Raw genomic sequence first — 20,306 nt, forward strand, 5'->3', positions numbered from 1 at the left:
CCTACCCTGGGAGAGATGCTTGACATTGGGCAATGCTGACGTTGACAAAGTCATCTACAAATGGAATTTGTGTTTGCCCAGGGTTAATGGAGTCACAGCCAAGACAAACACTGAGTAGAATTCAAGGACAGGGTCCAGTTGAAGGAAAGGATGGAAAAATAAGCAAAGAGCTTGGGCCAGCATCTAGGTTTTGGTAAAGATCAGGACAATGTATACAAAGGACTAAAGAGTTTGATGGCAAGACATAGCTATTTTGGCATCTTCCTGGGGGAAGCTGCACACACTGGCCTCATGTCTGGACCAGCAGTGAGAGATCCTCATGAGTATTATCCACTAATAATCACCAATCCCAGAACCACAGGTAGGGCTTGATTCCTCTATGGGACTCCCATGAGCATAGAGTAGAGACGCCCTTGGTTGCATTAGACCTCTAGCAATCGAAGGCCAGTTCCAGCCTGGACCAAGGCCTGCCTCTGGTTCTGCACAATGGCAAGTCCTATTAGGAGGACTAGGAGCTTTGTCCTTGAAGTAAAGACCTGCATGGTAACTGGTTTCAGTTAGGTTGGCTCACTGGGATTTGAAGCTGGGATGAATGGATTCCACACTGACCTTTATCCCATGGGCCTGTTGGACTGGCTCTTGGGGAACTCATAACTGTACCATGTGTTTGAGCTTCAGTGAGCTCAAATGCAGAGTCAAGTGGGAAGAGATGCAAGATTGCTAAGTAGGTGGTCAGCTATCTGCCAGGGGTCTTCTCCTAATGGTAGACCAGCTAGCCTGTCAATCTGAAGTCTGCTTTTGTAAAGCTTTGTGCTGGGGGCTATGATGGATAGTAATAAAATGACATTGTCCTCTCAGAGCTTAGGATCTGCCAAATTAGGAAGCATGTTCAAAGAAACCCCTAGAGAGCCTGAGATGAGTTAAGGGTGAGGTTCTAACCAAACCAGGTGTAGCTTTAGCGGTACAACCTCTGTAAATCACTCAACTTGTCTGTAAGTCAGTTTGCTCATGTGTGAAATGATCTCAAAAATTCCCTCTGCCTCTGGCTTTATAATCTAGGTGGAAAGATGAAGCATAAACACAGTCCATTTGTAGTTTCCCGGGCCTCTGATAACATCTCCAATCTGAGTTACTTAAGCTTTAGAGCCACCTGTTAGCAGCATTCAAAGCAAGATTGTTGAGGTTGGTGACAGGTGCACTGCACAGTTGTGCCCTGTGGGTGCTCTGTGGCCATGAGGTGAGCCAGAAAGACAAACTGCACATGAGTAGGCCAACCGCTCTGCAGAACGTGCAGAAAGGTTCATTGTTCATGGTCAGAAAATAACATTTTGTATTGTGGTAAAAAGAGAAATAACATTCTGTCTCCTATTGTCACAATTTATAATGTAAGATTTTAAAGATGTAATAAAAAGTTATGCACATCAATAATGAAGGAAGACAGCTAAAGCAAGCAATATTTGTGCAACATTTTCATCATATGAAGCTGTGTGCTCAGGAGTTTCTCTGGGTCCAGTAATAGTAAGGTCTATACAGATTGCCCAGGGGCCCAGAGCAGGCCAGAGTTTCATTTCTAGACTGGAGAGTGTGGGTTTGTTGGAATAGACAGTGGGGGATATTTGGAGAAGTAGAGCAAGGTGAACGGTCTTTGAATAACATTTGAGAACTTATCACCCCAATGCCAAGCTTTTAATTGTGTGACGGGCAGGTTATGGAATCATTTGGACTTCAGGTTCCTTATCTGTAAGTGGGGCAATAATAATGTCCATCTCAAGAGATTGTAGCCGGGTGCGGTGGCTCACGCCTGTAATCCCAGCACTTGGGGAGGCCAAGGCGGGCAGATCACAAGGTCAGGAGTTTGAGACCAGCCTGGCCAACATGGTGAAACCCCATCTTTACTAAAAATACAAAAATTAGCAGGGTGTGGTGGCGCACGCCTGTAATCCCAGCTACTCTGGAGGCTGAGGCAGGAGAATTAAACCTGGGGGGCGGAGGTTGTAATGAACCAAGATTGCACCGCTACATGCTGCACTCCAACCTGGGCAACAGAGCAAGACTCCGTCTCGAAAAAAAAAGAGATTGCTGTGAGGATTAGTTGATTTCCTACATACAAAGTACTTGGAACAGTGACTGACACATAGAAAGTCTTCATATAATAAATAGATTATTATTAGTGGCCCTACCATGTATGTTTGAAGTATGTTATCTCACTTCTCACGTCATCTCGGTGAGGTAAAAAAAATCATGGAGACTCAGTTTCCTTTTATGTGACATGGGAGAAAAATCTCATCCCTCCATCTTCCCACAGTCCCACAGGATGGCAGGGCTGGGAGCGTCAGCCAGCTAGGCCCGCCTGACCCCAAAGGCAGTGCACCACGGGGGAAACATAATGAAACATGCTTTTGAGAAAGCTTTCCCTGGCATGTGAAGGATATCTCCAGCGGGCAGAAGTCCCAGGAGTCTAGACTAGAGATGATGGGCTCTTGGCCAGAGTGGTGGGAAAATTAAATTTGAAAATTATGCAAGGTGGGCACATCAGGGCGACGCGGTGAGTGTCAACATGTAGGGAATATTAGGAACAGACTTACCGCTCTCTGGCTCCAGACCTCAGTTATACCTCCTCGAAGAGCCTCAAGTCCTTCTGGCAGATGCTGGAAGCTGGGGGTGGGCTGGGCAATGTTTGGGAAGAAGTGAGAGAGAGAGAAAGAGCCCGAGCTTAGTCAGCTGTCTCATGGGAAATTCTTCCCGTGTGAAGCAGCCAGCTCTCTCGCTGCAGCCCGTTTCTTCTCACCCCAGCCTCACCAAGAATAGAGAAGGATGGGAAGCTTTACCTCTGCAGGCTTCTCTCTTCCCTACCTCCACGTTGGTCCTAGCTGCAGAGGGAGGCCTCCCTGCAGATCAGACTGTGGCTGCACACTGCTTCAGCCAGCGCCGTCCCTGCCTTCCCTGATTCCATTCCCTTCTCATCTCTCTGCCTCCCACACCCCTTTCCAGAAGCCCGACGCCTCTCCTAGTCCCTTCCCCTATCCCACGTGTGCTTCTGTGAGCGCACACACACACACACGCACACACACACACATACACACACTCATACACAGTGGTTGTTTCTGCCATGAAAAGAATGCATCTGTGTTGGGGTTGGCCAGCTGCCTGTATCCCTTGCTGCTCCAAGCTTCCCAGCCGGCATTCCACAAGAGGGTCCCTGGCCTTCAGAAGGCCACAGGAATGTCCCCACCCCCTGACTCTGGCCTAGCCTCCCCTTTCCAGAGTTTAAGAAAATAACAGTGAGTGAAAGGTATGTTTCTCTCTCCAAGTCTTTCTGAGGGGGGTTGTAGGGAGGAAGAGGAGGCATTAAACAAGGTTCCCCAGCTGCGCTCTAGGTAGAGGAAGGCAGAGAGATTCTATGCTGAAGGACAGCAAAGCTCTAGATGAGGTGGGGATTCCTGAGAGGGGAGGGTTGGAACACCCTGTCAGGAGCTTGGCTGGCTGTGCTCTGGACCATCAGCAGGGTGCTACGAGACTGCCAGGGCTTTTTTTTTTTTTTTTGGCTTGACTAACAGCCAGGATCCAGACCCTAGTGCAAGGGTCCTACACAGAGATGGGGCAAGGCCTAAATGGAGAGACCTTGGAATGTAAAACCCTGGACATATCCCAGTTGTAAAGGATGGTAACACCTTCCCTGGCTCTGACCAAAGGGAAATTGTGGCAGAGTCTTGCTGGTCTCAGCAGTGTCACTACAGGTGCCAGGTCCCAAACTTTGGTATTTGTCCACTTTCTGAGAATCTGGGAAAGTGGGAGGAAGACCCTTGGGAAAGAAAACAACCATCTGAGATACATAAATACAGTCCGTGCTGCAGCTTTGAGGATCCAAAATATGTATGGCTTTAATCTTCCAATGATGGCTGCCAAGGACAGGGGTGACTCCAGGCAACCTGCCCTTTAGGGGGAGTGGGCCTGTGTGAAGTACCCTGAGTGCAGCTTCTGACTTTGCTTTTGGAAAAAGTGAAGTGGACCCCCTTTCCTACTGCCTACCCATCCCCCCAGCACCCCCCATGATTTCTAGAACATGTTTACATGTGGCTCCATGCACAAGGGAGGAAAAGGGGGTTGTCTCTGGCCTCTACCCTGGAGCAGAGTATTCAAGAGAGTTGGAGGTTGAGGGGAGCAACCGACTACCTTCTGAAGGTCTGAAATCCTGGTCATCTTAGTATGTGCAGTTGGGAGATAAGTGGGGTTAGGGAGGCATGGAGCATCTTCATGATGGAGTTGGGCCAACCATGGGATCTTCTCCCTACCCTGAATTTTAGGAGCGTGTCCCTGGCACCGTATGGAATGAGATTGATGACATGCAGGTATTTCGGATCCTGGACCTAGAGGATTTTGAAAAGATGTTTTCAGCCTACCAGAGGCACCAGGTAAGACCCTATACCCTCTGGCCTCTTGGACCATACCCTTGAATCCAAACCTCAGCTTCTCCTTTTCTTTCTGCCTGCCTGCCTTCCTTTCCTTTCCTTTCCTTCCTTCCCTTCCTCCATCTTCCCCTTCCCTTCCTTCTTTCCTTCCTTCCTCACATGTATACTGAATGATTTTATTCTTTATGAGGTGATGATTTTATTCTTGCTGAGGATGTAGGTATGAAGTAGAGGTGCACAGACCATAGGGGGAAATATGCTTGTATTATGGTTCATATTTATACACCAAGTATTGAAATGGTGTTTTGTCCATTTCTCTCTTCCATCCTGGAGCATCGGAGGTAGAGTCGCAAGGCCTGACCACTGTGGACCCTTGCTGTCTTTGGCCCAGGATTTAGGGACTAGGCTTAGAAGGCATAATAACTTCTCAAACCACTTTTCCACCACATTTTGTCTGTCAACACCTCTATGAGACCGAGCAGGGGATGTTGCCTTGCAAGGAAGGCAGAAGGTGCTGCTCCATGTCACTCAGGGGGCTGAGGCTGAGGCTGAGGCTGGGGCTGGGCCTGGGCCTGGGCCTGGGAAGGCCCGGGGAAGCCTTGGATATTGCTCTCAAGGCTCTATGTGCAGGTGGCTGCCAGCAGTCTGGTCTTCCAGTCACAGAGAAAGTAGGGGGTGAGTTGGTGGCAGAGCGCAGGGTGTTCCTGAGGTGGGAATCTGAAACTGTGCCGAGTATCTGTGGGGACTGCCAAAAGGGTTGCTTCTCAGACCTCATCCTGGAATGTGATTCGGGAGATGAGTTGGGGCCCAGGAATCCGCCTGGTAACTAGCAGCTAGGGGCCTTCCCTCTAAGTCCATTTGGGGAATGACCAGCTTAGAAGCCTCAGGGAATTGCTTTATCTCTGGCCCGCCCCAGAGGGACTTCTCCCTCTTGGGGCTGGGCTACCATCTTCCTTGTTTTCTTTACTTAGCCTGGGATCTCAGTCTTGAGGGTTTCCCTGGGTGCCAATGAGTGGGTCCTGGCAATGGCTGGCTGTTGTGGCCTGGCTCCCCACTGAGCTGGAGAGGTTGCCCTAGCTCACTTTCTGCCCAGCCCTGATCTGTGGATGACTGAGGACACATGCAGCCGCTCCTAGGGCTCTGGCCAGATGATTGCTTATTTAATTTAAATGTGGGTGCCCACAGCATCGGATTCTCTACTCCTAATTCCAGGAGGCATTTTTAACCCCATGCCCATGTCAGGCTGGCAGCTAAGGCTGCTGGAGCTGAAAGGAACTCTTTGAGCACTGGCTCCTGGGAGCCAATTCTCCACGAGTGGGGTTGAGGACAGAGGAGTGTGTGGCAAGCATACCAGGCTTGGTGATCGCAGGCCACCTCCTCATTTGAGAGTCTTTCTGCAGGACAGGACTCTGGCCCAGCCTACTCAGGCTCCAGGGCCCTGAGGTGAGGCTGGGATGGGGCCAGTCAGGAAAGAAGGTTATGGATTTTGTACAAACTGGGTCTGGGGCCTCCCAGCTTGGTGAGTTGAGAAGAGTTAAGACTGAAAGACCCCCTGTCCTGTCCCCCTCACCTCTCTGAGCCCACACAGTCCAATCACCTGCCTCCCCTCACTCAGTGGGCCGTCTAGTCTCTGGGACTGAAATCCCAGCAGCAGGACTGGAGAGATCCCGGAGGCCGTATTAACCTTGTTGCCTCTTCTCTCAGTTGGTTGTGGGGCAGGGGAGGTCCTGGGAGTCATGGTCTTCTCTGTGCCCCATGCGAGTTTTGAGTCAGTAGCTTCCACTCCATCGGCGTCAGGGAGAACAGAGGTGCGTGCTGTGCCTCTTCAGTTCCCCTTGCACATCAAAGGACAGATGAGGGGCAGTGAGCAAATTCAAGGGCACTTGCTTTTCTCTGCCTCAGTAAACACAACTTTCTGGAGCTTCCAGATCGAGTTCATTTGTGACTCCTCCTCTATTTAGAAAGGTGAACTCATCCCAGGATGGAGGAATGTCCTCCACCCTCTCTGCAGGTTTTCAGCAGAGGAAAAGGAAGAACAGGCAGCAAAGCCTGGGGTGGGAGAACTCAGGGGTTTGGTCTGCCCTAACTGGGGAGTGGTGGTCGCACTAGGCAGATGGGAGGAGCTGCCTGATCTCCGCTTCGTTTGGCTTCTCCGTGAGTGCATGTCTGCTAGAAGCAGCTCCTGTCTAGTGCCACTTATGGGTGCCTGTCTACAACCATGGGTCTCACTGGGATGAAGTGGACAGTGTAGATGCTGAGGGATCCCTGTGTCTGTCATGCTATTTCTGGGTCCCCAAATGTCTTGGCTAATGTTGTGCATGTTTAATTCTCTGTTGGCTGTGGCTGCTGCCTAGGAGCTGATAACTAATCCTTCTCAGCAGGTGAGTTACTCTCGGGGCTCTGACCACTCCAACTTTTAACTGCTGTCCCGGGCTGCTGCTCTGTACTGGGCCTGACAGAGAGGACTTGTCCATTCCACTTTCTACCTTATTCCCCATTCATACAGGGTGGTATGGGAGAGGGCCCCCAAAGAGAAAGAAGAAATGTAGCAGAGGGAGGTAATCAAATAGACCCCTGGCAGCAGTGGAGGTCAATGTCTCCTGGAATGAGGAGAAGGCTTCTAGGTCTACTGTCTTACCCACCAGGCCAAAGGAGAGCCTTTCCTGTAAGGACACACAGGGTAGGCACGACACAATTCACAAAGATAACCATGCAAGGCGGCCCCTGAAGTTGTGCAAGAGGGACCTCCCAGAGGAAGAACAGCACACTAGACAGCCTCCTGTCTACCTCGCCAGGGGCCCAAGAGAAGGAGTGGGGCGGGATCAATGATTTCTCCAGAATCTGCCTGCTGGGACTCAGAGGAGAGAGTTCTGCTTCAGTTTCCATACCTCTGAACTTGTGGATGCTCTCTACCCTGGGCATCTTGGGCTGTGCCTGAAGTCCCTAGGAGTCAGCAACTGTTCCCTAGGGGGGTTTGCAACCAGGTTCTCAGCATAAGCCTGAGGAGGGCCTCTGGGTTGGGCAGTGGGAATGGGAGTTGATTCTGTTGGAGTCATGGGAGGTTATGTCACATTGCCCAAAGCCACAGAGATCAGTCATACCCTGACCCACTGGCACAGCCCCTTCCCTCATTGCCCAGAGTGGATAATTTCTAAAAAAAATCTCTAAAAAAATAAAAAAAATAGGAAGGGGGGCTTCTCGGTGTCCTTCCCCAACCCATTGGAGCCTATGGAAAAGTCCCAGATACCGTCTCTTAAAGTTAGCTATTATCCACCCTCCTCTCTCTCCTGTCTTTTTCTTCCCCCTTCCCCTCACACCAGGAGCATTCCTGGATTGGTAGGAGGTGGCTCTTGCGGGGCGGGTAAGAGGAGGATTAGGGAACCCACACCTCAACTGTCCACTTGACTTGTTGGTTGCAGAAAGAGCTGGGCTCCACTGAAGACATCTACCTGGCTTCCCGCAAGGTCAAAGAGCTGTCGGTCATTGATGGCCGGAGGGCCCAAAACTGCATCATCCTTCTTTCCAAGTATGTGCAAAAGAAGGTGGTTGAGTTGGATGCCTGGGGGACAAAGGGGGTGGAGGAACGGAGTGGTGGCAGTCTCGGGCCTCTCCCTCTCTGCTGTCCCCTGGGAGGGGCAGGCATTGATCTGGAACTGTCTCTCGGGAACCTGCCTTGAGCAGCAGTTTGGGGCTCTGCAGGCAGGAAACTGCCCAGTCACGAGGCCCTTGCCCAGCCTGGTCAGCGTCTGGCAGCTGAGTTGCTCTAAGCCCACGGAGGGCCTCGCTTGGCTCAGGCCATGGAGCAGCATGATCTCAGCCCCTAAGCATTTCCCGCGGCTGCAGAACAAACAGGGCAGTATCTGCGCTAACAGCACAGCTTCTGTACGGGGGGGCCTCCTGCCTGAGCAGGGTCAGAGGGCACCACCTCCCATACTATTCTTAGTGCTGCCCCAGCCGCCTCTGAGACATCCTCCTCCCTTTCTTCTCACAAGCCCCCAGGCCTCAGTTTCCCCCACTTGATGGTGGAAAGAGTTCTGAATCCCCAGGGTTCCTAATGGGGGTGCATGTGGAGGGGATAGGGAAGGGCTATGGGGGTGTGTGGCTTCTCCCTCTCCCAGACAGCAAGACTGATTGGGACAGCTGTGTGGGAGCTGAGGCGCTGTCAGAAGACTGAGAGCGATTCTGTGTTCTGAGAATGAAGGCAGCAGGAAATTGCCCTCTTAGTGGCTTGCCGATAATCCTGTCCTCCCGTGGAGATGCTGTGCATTTTTTAAGCATGAGGAGGAGGAGAAGGATCAGGAACCCTTTGCCCTGTCCCTTTGGTCTACATTGAAGACATCTCTTTTACTCCCAAATGCCCCTATCAGCTCTGATGGATTATCAAGAGAACAGAGACCCTCACGTCTCTATTTTGACACTAAAATGCTCATTATCAAGTTTGTGGACTGAATCATACTAGTCTAATCTAAGAAGGCTTTGTAGAGGAGGTGAGGGGGGAATACTATTAAATATATTCCCAAGTCCTGTTAGGGAATGAGGGAAGGCGGAGGTGGTACCTTTTGGAGAAGAAGGTTTGAGGGCTGTCCTGGATTGAGGTGGGGTTTTGCCTTAGGTTGAAGCTTTCTAACGAGGAGATCCGGCAGGCCATCTTGAAGATGGATGAGCAGGAGGACCTTGCTAAGGACATGCTGGAGCAGGTGAGGACCCTCGTGGGAAGGAAGGGGAACTGAACCCAGCGGGCAGCCACGCCCCTTCCCAACAGCCCCCAGGAGGCTGCGATTCTTGGGTCAAGGAGAAATCAGGCTGGAAGAGTTAGGGAGAAGGTTTATAGAAGCCTCCCTGGGCCAGCCTTTCTTGGGGAAAGCTGGAAAAGGCTAAGTGTTCTCCAGGAGTCATTCTCCCATCTGACTCCAAGGCAAAGTCAGATGAGGAAAAGTGACATCTTCCCCAAATCTCTTCCCTCTCAGTTTTTTGGATCCTTTGGGAAACCTAGAAAACACACAAAGAAACATCATCAATTGGACTTCATTACAGTTAAGAACTTCTGTTCATCAAGGGCATGGTTACTGAGTGAAAAGAAGACAAACCTTAGAAGAAGATATTTGCTATACATACATATAACAAAGATCATATTCAGAACAAAGAACTCTACAAATCAATGAGAAAATGATGAAATCAACTTAAAAATGAGCAGAAGACTTGAAGGGGTGCTTCATGAAAGAGGATTTCCAAATAGACAATAAGAATATGAAAAGGTGTTCAATATGATTAGTTATCAGAGAAATACAGTCAACCACAATAAGGGGGCACCACACACCCACTAGAGTAGCTAAAATTAAAAAGACTGACAATGCCATGTGCTGACGAGGATGTGAAGCAATTGGAATTCTCATTTGGCACAATTATTTTGGAAAACTACTTGGAAGTACACTCTACAGCTAAACATATACCCGCCCTATTGCCTAGTAATCCCACTCTTAGGTATAACTCCAGGGAAATGAGTACAAATACTGACTAAAATAAATACACAAGAATAAAGTTGACCCTTAATAATGTGGGGGCTGGAGGCATTGACCCTCCATGCAGTCAAAAATCCACATATAACTTTTGACTTCCCAACAACTTAGCCGCTAATTGCCTACTGTTGACCAGAAGCCTTACTGATAAGATAAACAACCAATTAACACATATTTTTATGTTACATGTATTATATGCTGTATTTTTATAACACAGTAAGCTAAAGAAAAGAAAACGTTATTAAGAAAATTATTAGAAGGAAGTCCGGGCACAGTGGCTCATGCCTGTAATCCCAGCACTTTGGGAGGCTGAGGTGGACAAATTACTTGAGGTCAGGAGTTCAAGCCCAGCCTGGCCAGTATGGTGAGACCCCATCTTTACTAAAAATACAAAAATTAGCCAGGTGTGATGGTGCATGCCTGTAGTCCCAGCTACTTGGGAGGCTGAGGCAGGAGAATCACTTGAACCCAGGAGGCGGAGGTTGCAGTGAGGTGAGATGGTGCCATTGCACTCCAGCCTGGGCAACAGAGTGAGACTCCATCAAAAAAAAAGAAAAAAAATCATTAAAAGACACTGTTCATTGAGTGGAGGTGGATCATCATAAAGGTCTTCATCCTCATTGTCTTCACGCTGAGGAGGAGGAAGAGGAATGGTTGGTCTTGCTGTCTCAGGGATGGCAGAGGCAGAAGAAAATCCACATACAAGTGGTCCTGCACAGTTCAACCCTGTGTTACTCAGGGGCCAACTCTATTTATAGCAACTTTATTTATAAATTCCCCGAACTGTGAACAACCCAACTGTCCATCAATAGGAAAGTGAATAAGTAGACTGTGGTATATTCATACAGTAGAATCCTACTCAGCAATAAATAAACTACCATGACATGGATGAACCTTAGACATTATGCTGGGGAGAAGTCAGACATAAAAGAGAGCATACAGCATGAGTTCAAGGACAGGCAAATCTGGCTAAGGTCCTAGAATTCAGTTGAGAGCCTATATTCACTTGAATGGCTTACTGAAGTGATGAAAAATAACTTTCCTGGGGGATGGAAATGTTCTCTATCTTAATCTGAATGATGATTCAATGGATGGAGATTTGACAAAAATCACTGAACTGCACATTTAAAATGGGTGCATTTTATTTTATGTAGACTATACCTCAAGTTTGTTTAAAAGAAAAGAAAAATCACTGAGCTGTACATTGAAGAATAGTGTACTTTAGGCTAGACGTGGTGGCTCCCACCTATAATCTCAGCACTTTTGGAGGCTGAAGTGAGAGGACTGCTTGAGCTCGGGAGGTAAAGACCAGCCAGGGCTACGTAGTGAGGTCCAGTCTTACAAAATAAAAAAATAAAAAAAATTAACCCAGTATGTGCTACATGCCTATATTCCCAGCTACTCAGGACCTGAGGTGGGAGTATTGCTTCAGCCCAGGAGGTCACGGCTGCAGTGAGCTATGATCATACCACTGCATTCTAGCCTGATTGACAGAGTGAGACCCTATTAAAAAAAAAAAAAAAGAAAGAAATACTGTATATCAGTTACATCTCAATTTTAAAAAAGAAAAAAGAATTTCAGAGCTGTGTGCCCTGTCATCCCCTTCAGGCAGATGAAAGAAATCTGTCCACATGAGGGTGCCTCCCTCTTTCAAGGCACCCTCCCCATCTTGACCCAAGTCAGTACAGCTTCTCACACCCTGTACCCCATGTCTGCTGCTCACCAGTTGCTTGTGTGACTTGCGCCTGCTCTTTGCAGCTCCTCAAGTTCATCCCAGAGAAGAGTGACATTGACCTCCTGGAGGAGCACAAGCATGAAATTGAGCGGATGGCCCGTGCTGACCGCTTCCTCTATGAAATGAGCAGGTTGGGCCATGGGCATGGTGGGGATTCAAGCAGGTGGGGTTCTGGCAGGTGGGGCAGGTGGGGCTCTGCCAAGAGGAAGGGGATGGAGGTGGGCAGGCTTGAGAGGAGACTGGAGCTGGCTCCGGGAGCTGGGGCTGGCCAGGATAGGGGTGGGATACCTCAAGATATGGTTCACCTTGTCTACAGGATTGACCACTACCAGCAGCGACTGCAAGCCCTCTTCTTCAAGAAGAAATTCCAGGAGCGGCTGGCTGAGGCAAAGCCCAAAGTGGAAGGTAGGGCTGAGGGTTGCAGGAGGCTTAGAGTGGAGAGTTATCTGAGAAAGGCAGGGTGGGTGGGAGCCAGTGAATAGGGGCAGAGGGAAACCCCTTTCTTATTCTCAACCCAAAAACAAAAACAAAAAGTCAAAGACAAAATCTAAAATGATGATTATTATAAAAATATGCACTTGCTTATATTAGCACATGCGCCAACCTTGTGACATGTTCCTTATGCCTCAGCATGCAAGCTCTCCAAGGTGGGGCGTCTGTTGACATCTGCCCCAGCATGGGATGGAAAGGTAGAAAAGATAATAATAGCCACACCTACAACAGTGCCTGGCTGGGACTGAGCTCATCAGTCTTTACTCTACTTAAGAGGTACTAGGCTCATAGAAGACTTCTGGGCACGTTAGTTTAAGTGTGAGCCATTCAGAAAGTAGGAAATTGCACAAGCTGATTTCTAAAGGCATCTGATTTTCTGAGTCAGGAACACTTCCAATACAGGCCATTTCCAGATGAGAAATTTGTAGTTCAATGAGAACCATGCGCCAAGCACTGTGTGAAGCACTCTGCTTGGTTGGTCCTCATTTGGTCATCACAGCAATCGCACGGGTGGGTGCTATTATTAATTTCCATGTGGCTCCATTCTCTCCTTTCTAAAGTAGGGCTGTGTTAATGTCCCGAGGCTGTGACACTGGTGAGTGGTGGAACCAGGGTAGGAATGCAGATGCTGATCTTCAAAATCAGTCCCTTCCCTCTTGTCCCCTAGTACTCCCCAGGGGCTGCCTGTGCTGATGGCACAGCAGGGAGGGGCGTGGAGTTGTTGGGAGAGGCAGGAGGTCAGGACGGTGGGCAGAGACATGTGGACCCAGGAGGCAATAAGCAGGAGAGGCTGGGAGGCTCATTTGTGGGGAGGACAGGGTCAGCAGAGTGGAGCAAGAAAGCCTGTTTCCAGGATGTTGAGGTTACCAGGCTGGGGGCAGAACAGAGCATGGGCACCCCCTGCTGGACACCAGGGCCAGTCAGTACTCCCTGAGATGCCCAGTCCAGAGAGCAACCCTTCCTGAAATCCATTGAGATGCTTCAGGGATAGTCTATGGATAGGGTGGAGCATGCAGAGCTAAGGCAGACATTTTCTGTAATCAGATCTTGTTCCCCCTCACACTACACACACACACAGCAAGGGACCTGCAGGTGGTAAGCATAGATAATCAATCAAGAGGGAAAGAGAGCAGCAGTGACTCTCTATTTCTAAGGTCTGGCCATATCTCCTGCCCTGGTGATGGGTGAATCCTTATCTTCTTCACAACTTTCTTTCATCCTGCTGCAGACTGCCTTTGGAGCATGCAGCACAAGTAAGGGGTTCAGCCCAAGACATGTGTGCACAACTATTTGTATGTCTTGGGTCAGTGGAACAAATGTGAGCAATTGCCATTTGGAGATTTGGAACCAGAGTAGCTTAGCCATCAGAAAGGTTTAATCTCAGACAGTTTCCTGCTCCCAGGAGCCTAAGAATTAGTCAGTGGAGGCTGGGTGCGGTGGCTGATGCCTATAATCCCAGCACTTTGGGAGGCCAAGGCGGGCGGATCACAAGGTCAGGAGATTGAGACCACTCTGGCTAACACGGTGAAACCTCGTGTCTACTAAAAAATACAAAAAAATTAGCCGGGCATGGAGGTGGGCACCTGTAGTCCCAGCTATTCAGGAGGCTGAGGCAGGAGAATGGCATGAACCCAGGAGGCGGAGCTGGCAGTGAGCCGACATGGAACCACTGCACTCCAGCCTGGGCAACAGAGCATGACTCCATCTCAAAAAAGAAAAAAAAAAAGAATTAGTCAGTGGATATTCAGGAAAGAGTCTCCATTTGATATCAAGCTAAGCCGAGTAAGATGTGTTTGGGATAGCAAGATCTGCTGGGGAAAGCTACTCTTCTATAGCTCTGCTCTATAATAATTGCTCTGTATAGCAATGGCTGCTGTCCTTGTATAGACCAGACATAAGTCTCTTTCCTCTAAGAGCTAGATAGGAAAGATATGCCTAAAGTTGTGTATTATAGAATCAGATCAGTGTGTGTGACTATAAGTGGAGAAAAGAGGATTGTGCAAAGATGGGATTCTTATTCTTCCTTCCAGTTCTCCCAGGAAGTATTCCTGGAAGAGCTAAGATTTAGCCTATCCCAGCTAGGTGTGATGAGCTGTTGACACCTGCCCTCCTATCCCCAGCAGGGGCTCTGAGTCCATTTGCCAAAAGCTAGTTCACCAAATTTGACAAATTTACCAGTTCTTCTATGAATATATTCATGAACTTACAATTCTTGAATATATTCTTCTTATGAATATATTGCTGAATATACCACATTTACCGATTCTTATTATAAATACATTCACCGAATATAGTCAAGATGAATATGGTTGCAAATGTAATATTCTTATGAATATATTCATGAATATATTATTCTTGTGAATATATCTAAAATGTCAGAACTGCATCTGGGCGTTTTCCCATTTACACTGATTTCCTTTGAACTCTTGTCATTTTCTGTTTTGCCAACATTTTAGCATTTTTAGGAGGATTCCTTTGCAGATTTTCCAAATAGCATATAAACCTTAGAAAAAACATCCCAACCAATATAAATTGCCAGAAACTTTCCCAAGTATTCTTTTTAAATAAACTATTTTTGAAACATAACATGCATATAGAAAAGTACACAAATCATAAGAGTCCTACTTGAAGAATTAAAAAAGGGAACCACATGTGTAATCAACACCCAGGTCAAGAAATACAGCTTCCAACCCCCCAGAGCCTTCTTCATGTCCCCCTCCCAAACTTTACCCCCCTCCCTCCTCTCTAAAGGTCAAACCCATCTTGACTGCTAGTTTAGTTTTATCGGTTTTGAACTTTATTTTTTAAATTTTTACCTATTTTCTTTTTGAGACAGGGTCCTGCCCTGTCACCCAGGCTGGAGTGCAGTGGTGTGATCTTGGCTCACTGCAACCTCTGCCTCCTGGGCTCAAGGTATCCTCCCATCTCAGCCTCCCAAGTAGCTGGCACTACAGGCACATGCCACCAGCCTGGCTAATTTTTGTATTTTTGTAGAGACAGGGTTTCACCATGTTGCCTAGGCTGGTCTCAAACTCCTGGGCCCAAGTGATCTGCCCACCTTGGCCTCCCAAAGTGCTGGGATTGTAGGCATGAGCTACCATGCCTGGCCTGTTTTGAACTTTATATGAAAGGAATGATAGAGTATGAATAATTTTAGGCTGGTGACTTTTGCTCAACATTATGGTTGTGGGTTGTCCCTGCTGTTACATGTAGCAGTGGGGTATTCATTTTCAGTTCTGCATTTTATTCCATTATATGAATACACCATAATTTACCCATTCTATTTGGAATTTAAAAAACCTAGAAACAACCCAAATACCCACCAAGAATAATGTGGCTTTTAGGTTATAGAGTATGTACATGTTCAACTTAAAAGCTACTGACAAACCTTACTATTCATTTTTACAACTTTATTTACTTATTTATTTATTTATTTATTTATTTGAGACGGAGCCTCACTCTGTCGCCCAGGCTGGAGTGCAGTGGTGTGATCTCGGCTCACTGCAACCTCTGTCTCCTGGGTTCAAGCAATTCTCCTGTCTCAGCTTCCCAAGTAACTGGGATTACAGGTGTGCACCACCACGCCTGGCTAATTTTTGTATTTTTAGTAGAGATGGGGTTTCACCGTGTCACCCAGGTTGTTCTCGAATGCCTGACCTCAGGTGATCTGCCTGCCTCAGCCTCCCAAAGTGCTGGTATAGCTTCTTTTTAACAGTTACTTATTTCTAACTGTGTTCGAAGCTTTCTACAAACTTTTAGCAAAGTCGTTTTCATTTTATCTTCCTAGCAGCATCTTAAAGAATGTTCAGTTTGGCATAAGCCACAGATCACAGGATAATCTGGTCTTTTTGTTGCCACACTGAATATTCAAAAATCATATTCCGTAACTAGTAGACAAAATCTCAGTTTAGGATTTGTGTCCCCCTTCTGCACACCCACCATAAAGACATCATAGCTGAGGAAGGGCCAGAGCATACACAGCAGAATGAATTATTGAAGTTTTGGTTACTGTTAGCTTAGTTTGTATTTCTGGCAAAGATAACATTTAGAGCATTGGGGGAAAATGGTTAAGATGCCCAAAGGTTGGAAAAATCTTAAAAATGACATTCAACAGGATGTCAAGTAGCTTATTTCATCAAATCTTAGACACTATCAACTGAAAAGCATGCCATTATTTTATAGAACAAAAATAATAGAATATTATAATTTAGAATATGTTATTTAATTGATTTTTTTTCTTTCCAAAAAACCAATAGAATATAGCATTTCAAGACAGGCAGAAGCAATCCCATAATAGGTAAAATGCTGAAGTTAAGTGCTAGGTTTAGAAAAGTAAAAGTGTCATATTCATGAGTATATTCATGGAAAGAATATCTGAATAATCTTTTTTTCTTTTTTCTTTTTTCTTTTTGATACAGAGTCTCATGCTCTTGCCCAGGCTGGAGTGCAGTGAGGCAATCTTGGCTCACTGCAGCCTCAGCCTCCTGGGTTCAAGGGACTCTTTTGCTTTGGCTTCCCAAGCATCTGGGATTATAGGCATGCACCACCACACCTGACTAATTTTTTGTATTTTTAGTAGAGACAGGGTTTCACCACGTTGGCCAGGCTGGTCTCGAACTCCTGACTCAAGTGATCTCCCTGCCTCGGCCTCCCAAAGTGCTGGGATTACAGGTGTGAGCCACCGCAACCGGCCTTCTTAATAATCTTTAAATACATGTAAGAAAAGATCTTCTGAAATTGTCTTCTTGGGAAGAGCTGGCACGTCCTACAAATGGGGTATCTGGTGAATTGGCCTTGGTGAATGTGTCTGCTTCCCCTGGAGGTGGGTGAATGTGAAATCGATGGGTCTGCTGAGGAGTAGGTATAATCTCTGCCTCACTGAGAGTTGAAGGCATTTGACAGCCCCTTTTCTGAACTTTGCGGTGGCATCTTCCTGGGGTGCAATGAGAACTGCTGCCCTGCCTAGCCCATGCAGGCCTCTGACCTGTGCCTCCTCTCCCAGCCATCCTGTTGGCCTCCCGGGAGCTGGTCCGCAGCAAGCGTCTTAGACAGATGCTAGAGGTCATCCTAGCCATAGGCAACTTCATGAACAAAGGGCAGCGTGGGGGCGCCTACGGGTTCCGGGTGGCCAGCCTCAACAAGATCGCTGACACCAAGTCCAGCATCGACAGGTGAGGACCTCCCTTCCCGGCCACTTCCTTGGCCTCTATCTCACCCTACCCTGGCCTCTCACATCCTCCCTCTATTAGGACGGGAACATCCTAAGACTCATCACCCCTTTCTCTTAACACTCCATCCTCTGACCCTCTGACCCTCGTGCCCAGTTTCCTCTGTCACTTACCACTGACCTGACTTTCATCCACAGAAACATCTCTCTGCTCCATTACCTGATCATGATCCTGGAGAAGCATTTTCCTGATATTCTAAACATGCCTTCAGAGCTGCAACATCTTCCAGAAGCTGCCAAAGTCAAGTGAGGGTTCTCTCCAAGACTTCCTTCTCCCCATGATGACCCTCATTCTTGTCTTACTTTCCTCTTTTGGGGTCTACTCTGGGCTTGATGATGGCTGGTGTGAGACCTCGGTTCTTGTCTTCTGAGTTCAAAAGAATTTAAACAGACACACAGCAAAGGGGGTTTAGCATAGAACAATGTATTGCAAAAGAAGATATCTTGTGAGTTAGGTGCAGAATAGACAGTACACCCTGAGAGAGAGAGGATTCAGGGTGGGCTGCTTGTAAGGATGAGACAGCCAAGACTGGCACCAGGAAGACTCCCAGTATGGGAGACTTACACGATTATTCATAAAGAGGTGGGAAGAGGTATTGGGAAGCAGGCTCTGAGTGGTCCTCTGGGTGCACATGTGTAGTAGCTGTGTGTGCTTTTTCATACATCGCATGTCTCATTAGCACCTTAAATCTCCACCTAGGGGTGTGTTTTTTTACTATTATATGAGCAAAGGGCCAGTCTGAGGATAGGTAAAATCAAAATGCGCATGCTTTCCAGAGGGGAAAGTCCCTACTGCAGATAGCTTTGCTTGAATGAGCTCAATTACAATGCGAATGCTGAGGTTTATTGTGTTGACTGTATGGGCACCACCACAGCTGCTGTGTTCTGAGAAGTGCTCACTTCCTTGACTACCTATCCTGCCTCAGGCTGAGTAGGAATGGGCCATGTCTCAGGGTCTGCTTCTGGGAAAAACCAAACAAAGACAATTTGCTCTTAAATCCTTATTTCAGAGATGCTTCCAGAAAATACCAGTAGAAGAATGGGGAAGTGAGCCAGAGATAGAAAGAATGCCAGTAACAAACATTATTAAGCCAGTTACCAATCACAGGCAATTGGTGCTTAACCCCATGAGGAATTCTGGGAAACAGTGTGGAATAGTTACTTCAGTTTTCCCACCCAAAGGGCAAGGTTGCTGGGGCAATCAGAGAGCATCTCCTCTCAGTAATTGGCTGAGGGGCTCTGCAGGGGCAGGGAATAACTCTCTGGCCACAGGTACAGGTGGAAAGAGCTTGGCCTCAAAAAGAGTGTGCGTACAGTTGGAAGAGTTGGGGCCATGCCCTACAATGGATGGTCCAAGGAAATGTGGGTGGGGCACCAACAGCATCTGCTAGGCAAGATATCAGACACGAACATCTAGGCTGATAGATGTCATCTCCAGGAAAACTAGAAACATAGTGGTAAATGGCTCACTGGTATCGAATGCTATTGCTTGCAGGATCACATAAAGAGCTTATAAGCATTACCTGGTAGTAATAAAAATAAATAGGTCTAAGCCAGAGGCCACAGGTTGGAAATCTTCTGATATTGCAGCATGACATTTCTGACCTGGAAAGATCTATAGAATGCAGGCTTCACCTTGTTAATTTATTGATGCACAGACAGAGGCATGAAGGGGAGGTGCTTTGTCAGGGCCAACATCAATGGCCACACCAGGGCTGGAACCCAGGCTCACCGACTCCCAGGCCACTGTGCTTGGCTCTGCCCTCTCCCTGAACCAGCCTTAGCACCTCAAGGCGGGAGTTGATGGTCCTCATTCCCTTCCCTCTGTGTCTCCTTACAGCCTAGCAGAACTGGAGAAGGAGGTGGGCAACCTCAGGAGGGGCCTGAGAGCGGTGGAGGTGGTGAGTACCTTGTCAGTGCCTACCTGGGTGAGGGCTGCTGTCAGCAAACACTGTTCGTCACTGCACCCTAAGCTCCTACACAGGGGCAAAAAACAATGGGTACAGCCTCTAGCACAGGGTCAGCCCTCCCAAAGGATAACTGGATTACTGGGGCTTAAGTTTGAGCCTTTTAAAAGGGGTTACCTAAGACTATACCCATGTTACTGTCCAACTTGGTATCTATTTGGCAGTGGAGTGGAATGAACCATACATCTGACCCATGCCTACATTGGATTCAAGTGCATGGGAAAAAGAATCCTCATCCCTTGACTGCCAGCTAGGGGCAGGAAGCACGCAATGTGGCAGTGGGACCGATGTACCCAGAAGGTTCTTCCTTATGTCTCTCTGCCTGTTTCCTGGGCCAGTGGAGGACCCAGGTCTTTTGTTCCCACCATTCCCGTTCTGATGGCTTCTCGGCTGATACTATCTCTGGCCCTAGCCTTCCAGAAAACACCAGTAGAGGAGTGGGGAAGTGAGCCAGACTGGCCCAGTATGGGGATGTCTCTAAGTCTTGTCCCCCACACCTAGGAAGAAGGGACCCGTTCCGTCTTCACTGAGGAGAGAGGCAGTGGGTAAGGGAAGAATGGACTTTAGAGACAGATTAAGGATGACAAAGAACGTTTTGTTGCCACTACGGTGGGGGAAGATGATTTCCAAATTTACAATTTTATAGTCCTGTTAAGTGCTACTCAAAGTGCGGTACATGGACCAGCAGCTTCTGAATCAGCTGGGAGCTTTAGAAAAATGTCTCTTTAATTTGTGCATGAGTCACCTGGAGTCTTGTAAAGATGAGTCTTGTTAAAATGCAGCTTCTGATCCTGTGGGTCTGAGAGTCTGTATTTCTCATAATTTCCTAGGTGATGCTGCTGGCCCCAGGTCACATGTTGGGTCTCAGTGCTCTAGAGAAAGAAAGATGGCAGGGTGGGCTGGCTGCTAATGTTAGCTCATAGTCTTTGCCATCCTTAGAACTTTGAGATGCAGGGTGTT

The 20,306-nt window shown here is 47.8% G+C and overlaps 1 protein-coding gene and 1 long non-coding RNA gene across 20 annotated transcripts in view, besides 3 other annotated features; one reads left to right on the top strand and one right to left on the bottom strand.

The window, feature by feature from the left end:
* DAAM2 (dishevelled associated activator of morphogenesis 2) overlaps positions 1-20,306 on the top strand; it is a 112,494-nt gene that overhangs the window by 87,282 nt on the left and 4,906 nt on the right. For 13 of the 19 annotated variants that reach the window (XM_047418533.1, XM_047418537.1, XM_006715043.3 and 10 more), the window contains 9 exons: positions 4,305-4,412; positions 6,764-6,790; positions 7,829-7,935; positions 9,022-9,106; positions 11,684-11,790; positions 11,977-12,065; positions 17,155-17,323; positions 17,518-17,625; positions 19,220-19,280. In XM_047418533.1, the coding sequence (XP_047274489.1) occupies positions 4,305-4,412; positions 6,764-6,790; positions 7,829-7,935; positions 9,022-9,106; positions 11,684-11,790; positions 11,977-12,065; positions 17,155-17,323; positions 17,518-17,625; positions 19,220-19,280 (861 nt within the window). The remainder of the gene's footprint in view (positions 1-4,304; positions 4,413-6,763; positions 6,791-7,828; positions 7,936-9,021; positions 9,107-11,683; positions 11,791-11,976; positions 12,066-17,154; positions 17,324-17,517; positions 17,626-19,219; positions 19,281-20,306) is intronic. The other 6 variants (XM_047418534.1, NM_001201427.2, NM_015345.4 and 3 more) reach the window with 1 other exon arrangement.
* Positions 7,992-9,191: an enhancer, noted in NCBI's record as "CDK7 strongly-dependent group 2 enhancer chr6:39855425-39856624 (GRCh37/hg19 assembly coordinates)". NCBI's record gives its function as "activates an origin of replication core promoter dependent on BRD2, BRD4, P300/CBP, MED14 and CDK7 cofactors, with strong dependence on CDK7, by STARR-seq in HCT116 cells {active_cell/tissue: HCT116}" and the evidence as "EXISTENCE:reporter gene assay evidence [ECO:0000049][PMID:35650434]".
* DAAM2-AS1 (DAAM2 antisense RNA 1) lies at positions 9,133-17,723 on the bottom strand. The gene is made up of 4 exons (NR_125831.1): positions 17,540-17,723; positions 11,966-12,106; positions 11,649-11,722; positions 9,133-9,398 (listed from the first exon to the last, which is right to left on the bottom strand). It is a non-coding gene; the product is annotated as a DAAM2 antisense RNA 1 (long non-coding RNA).
* Positions 17,142-17,641: an enhancer, noted in NCBI's record as "H3K4me1 hESC enhancer chr6:39864575-39865074 (GRCh37/hg19 assembly coordinates)". NCBI's record gives its function as "activates a minimal SCP1, AML or CMV promoter by ChIP-STARR-seq in naive H9 embryonic stem cells {active_cell/tissue: H9 hESC(naive)}" and the evidence as "EXISTENCE:reporter gene assay evidence [ECO:0000049][PMID:30033119]".
* Positions 17,942-18,458: an enhancer, noted in NCBI's record as "OCT4-NANOG hESC enhancer chr6:39865375-39865891 (GRCh37/hg19 assembly coordinates)". NCBI's record gives its function as "activates a minimal SCP1, AML or CMV promoter by ChIP-STARR-seq in primed H9 embryonic stem cells {active_cell/tissue: H9 hESC(primed)}" and the evidence as "EXISTENCE:reporter gene assay evidence [ECO:0000049][PMID:30033119]".

Source organism: Homo sapiens, chromosome 6 (genome assembly GCF_000001405.40).
Source record: "Homo sapiens chromosome 6, GRCh38.p14 Primary Assembly".
NCBI classification, from domain to species: Eukaryota; Metazoa; Chordata; class Mammalia; order Primates; family Hominidae; genus Homo; species Homo sapiens.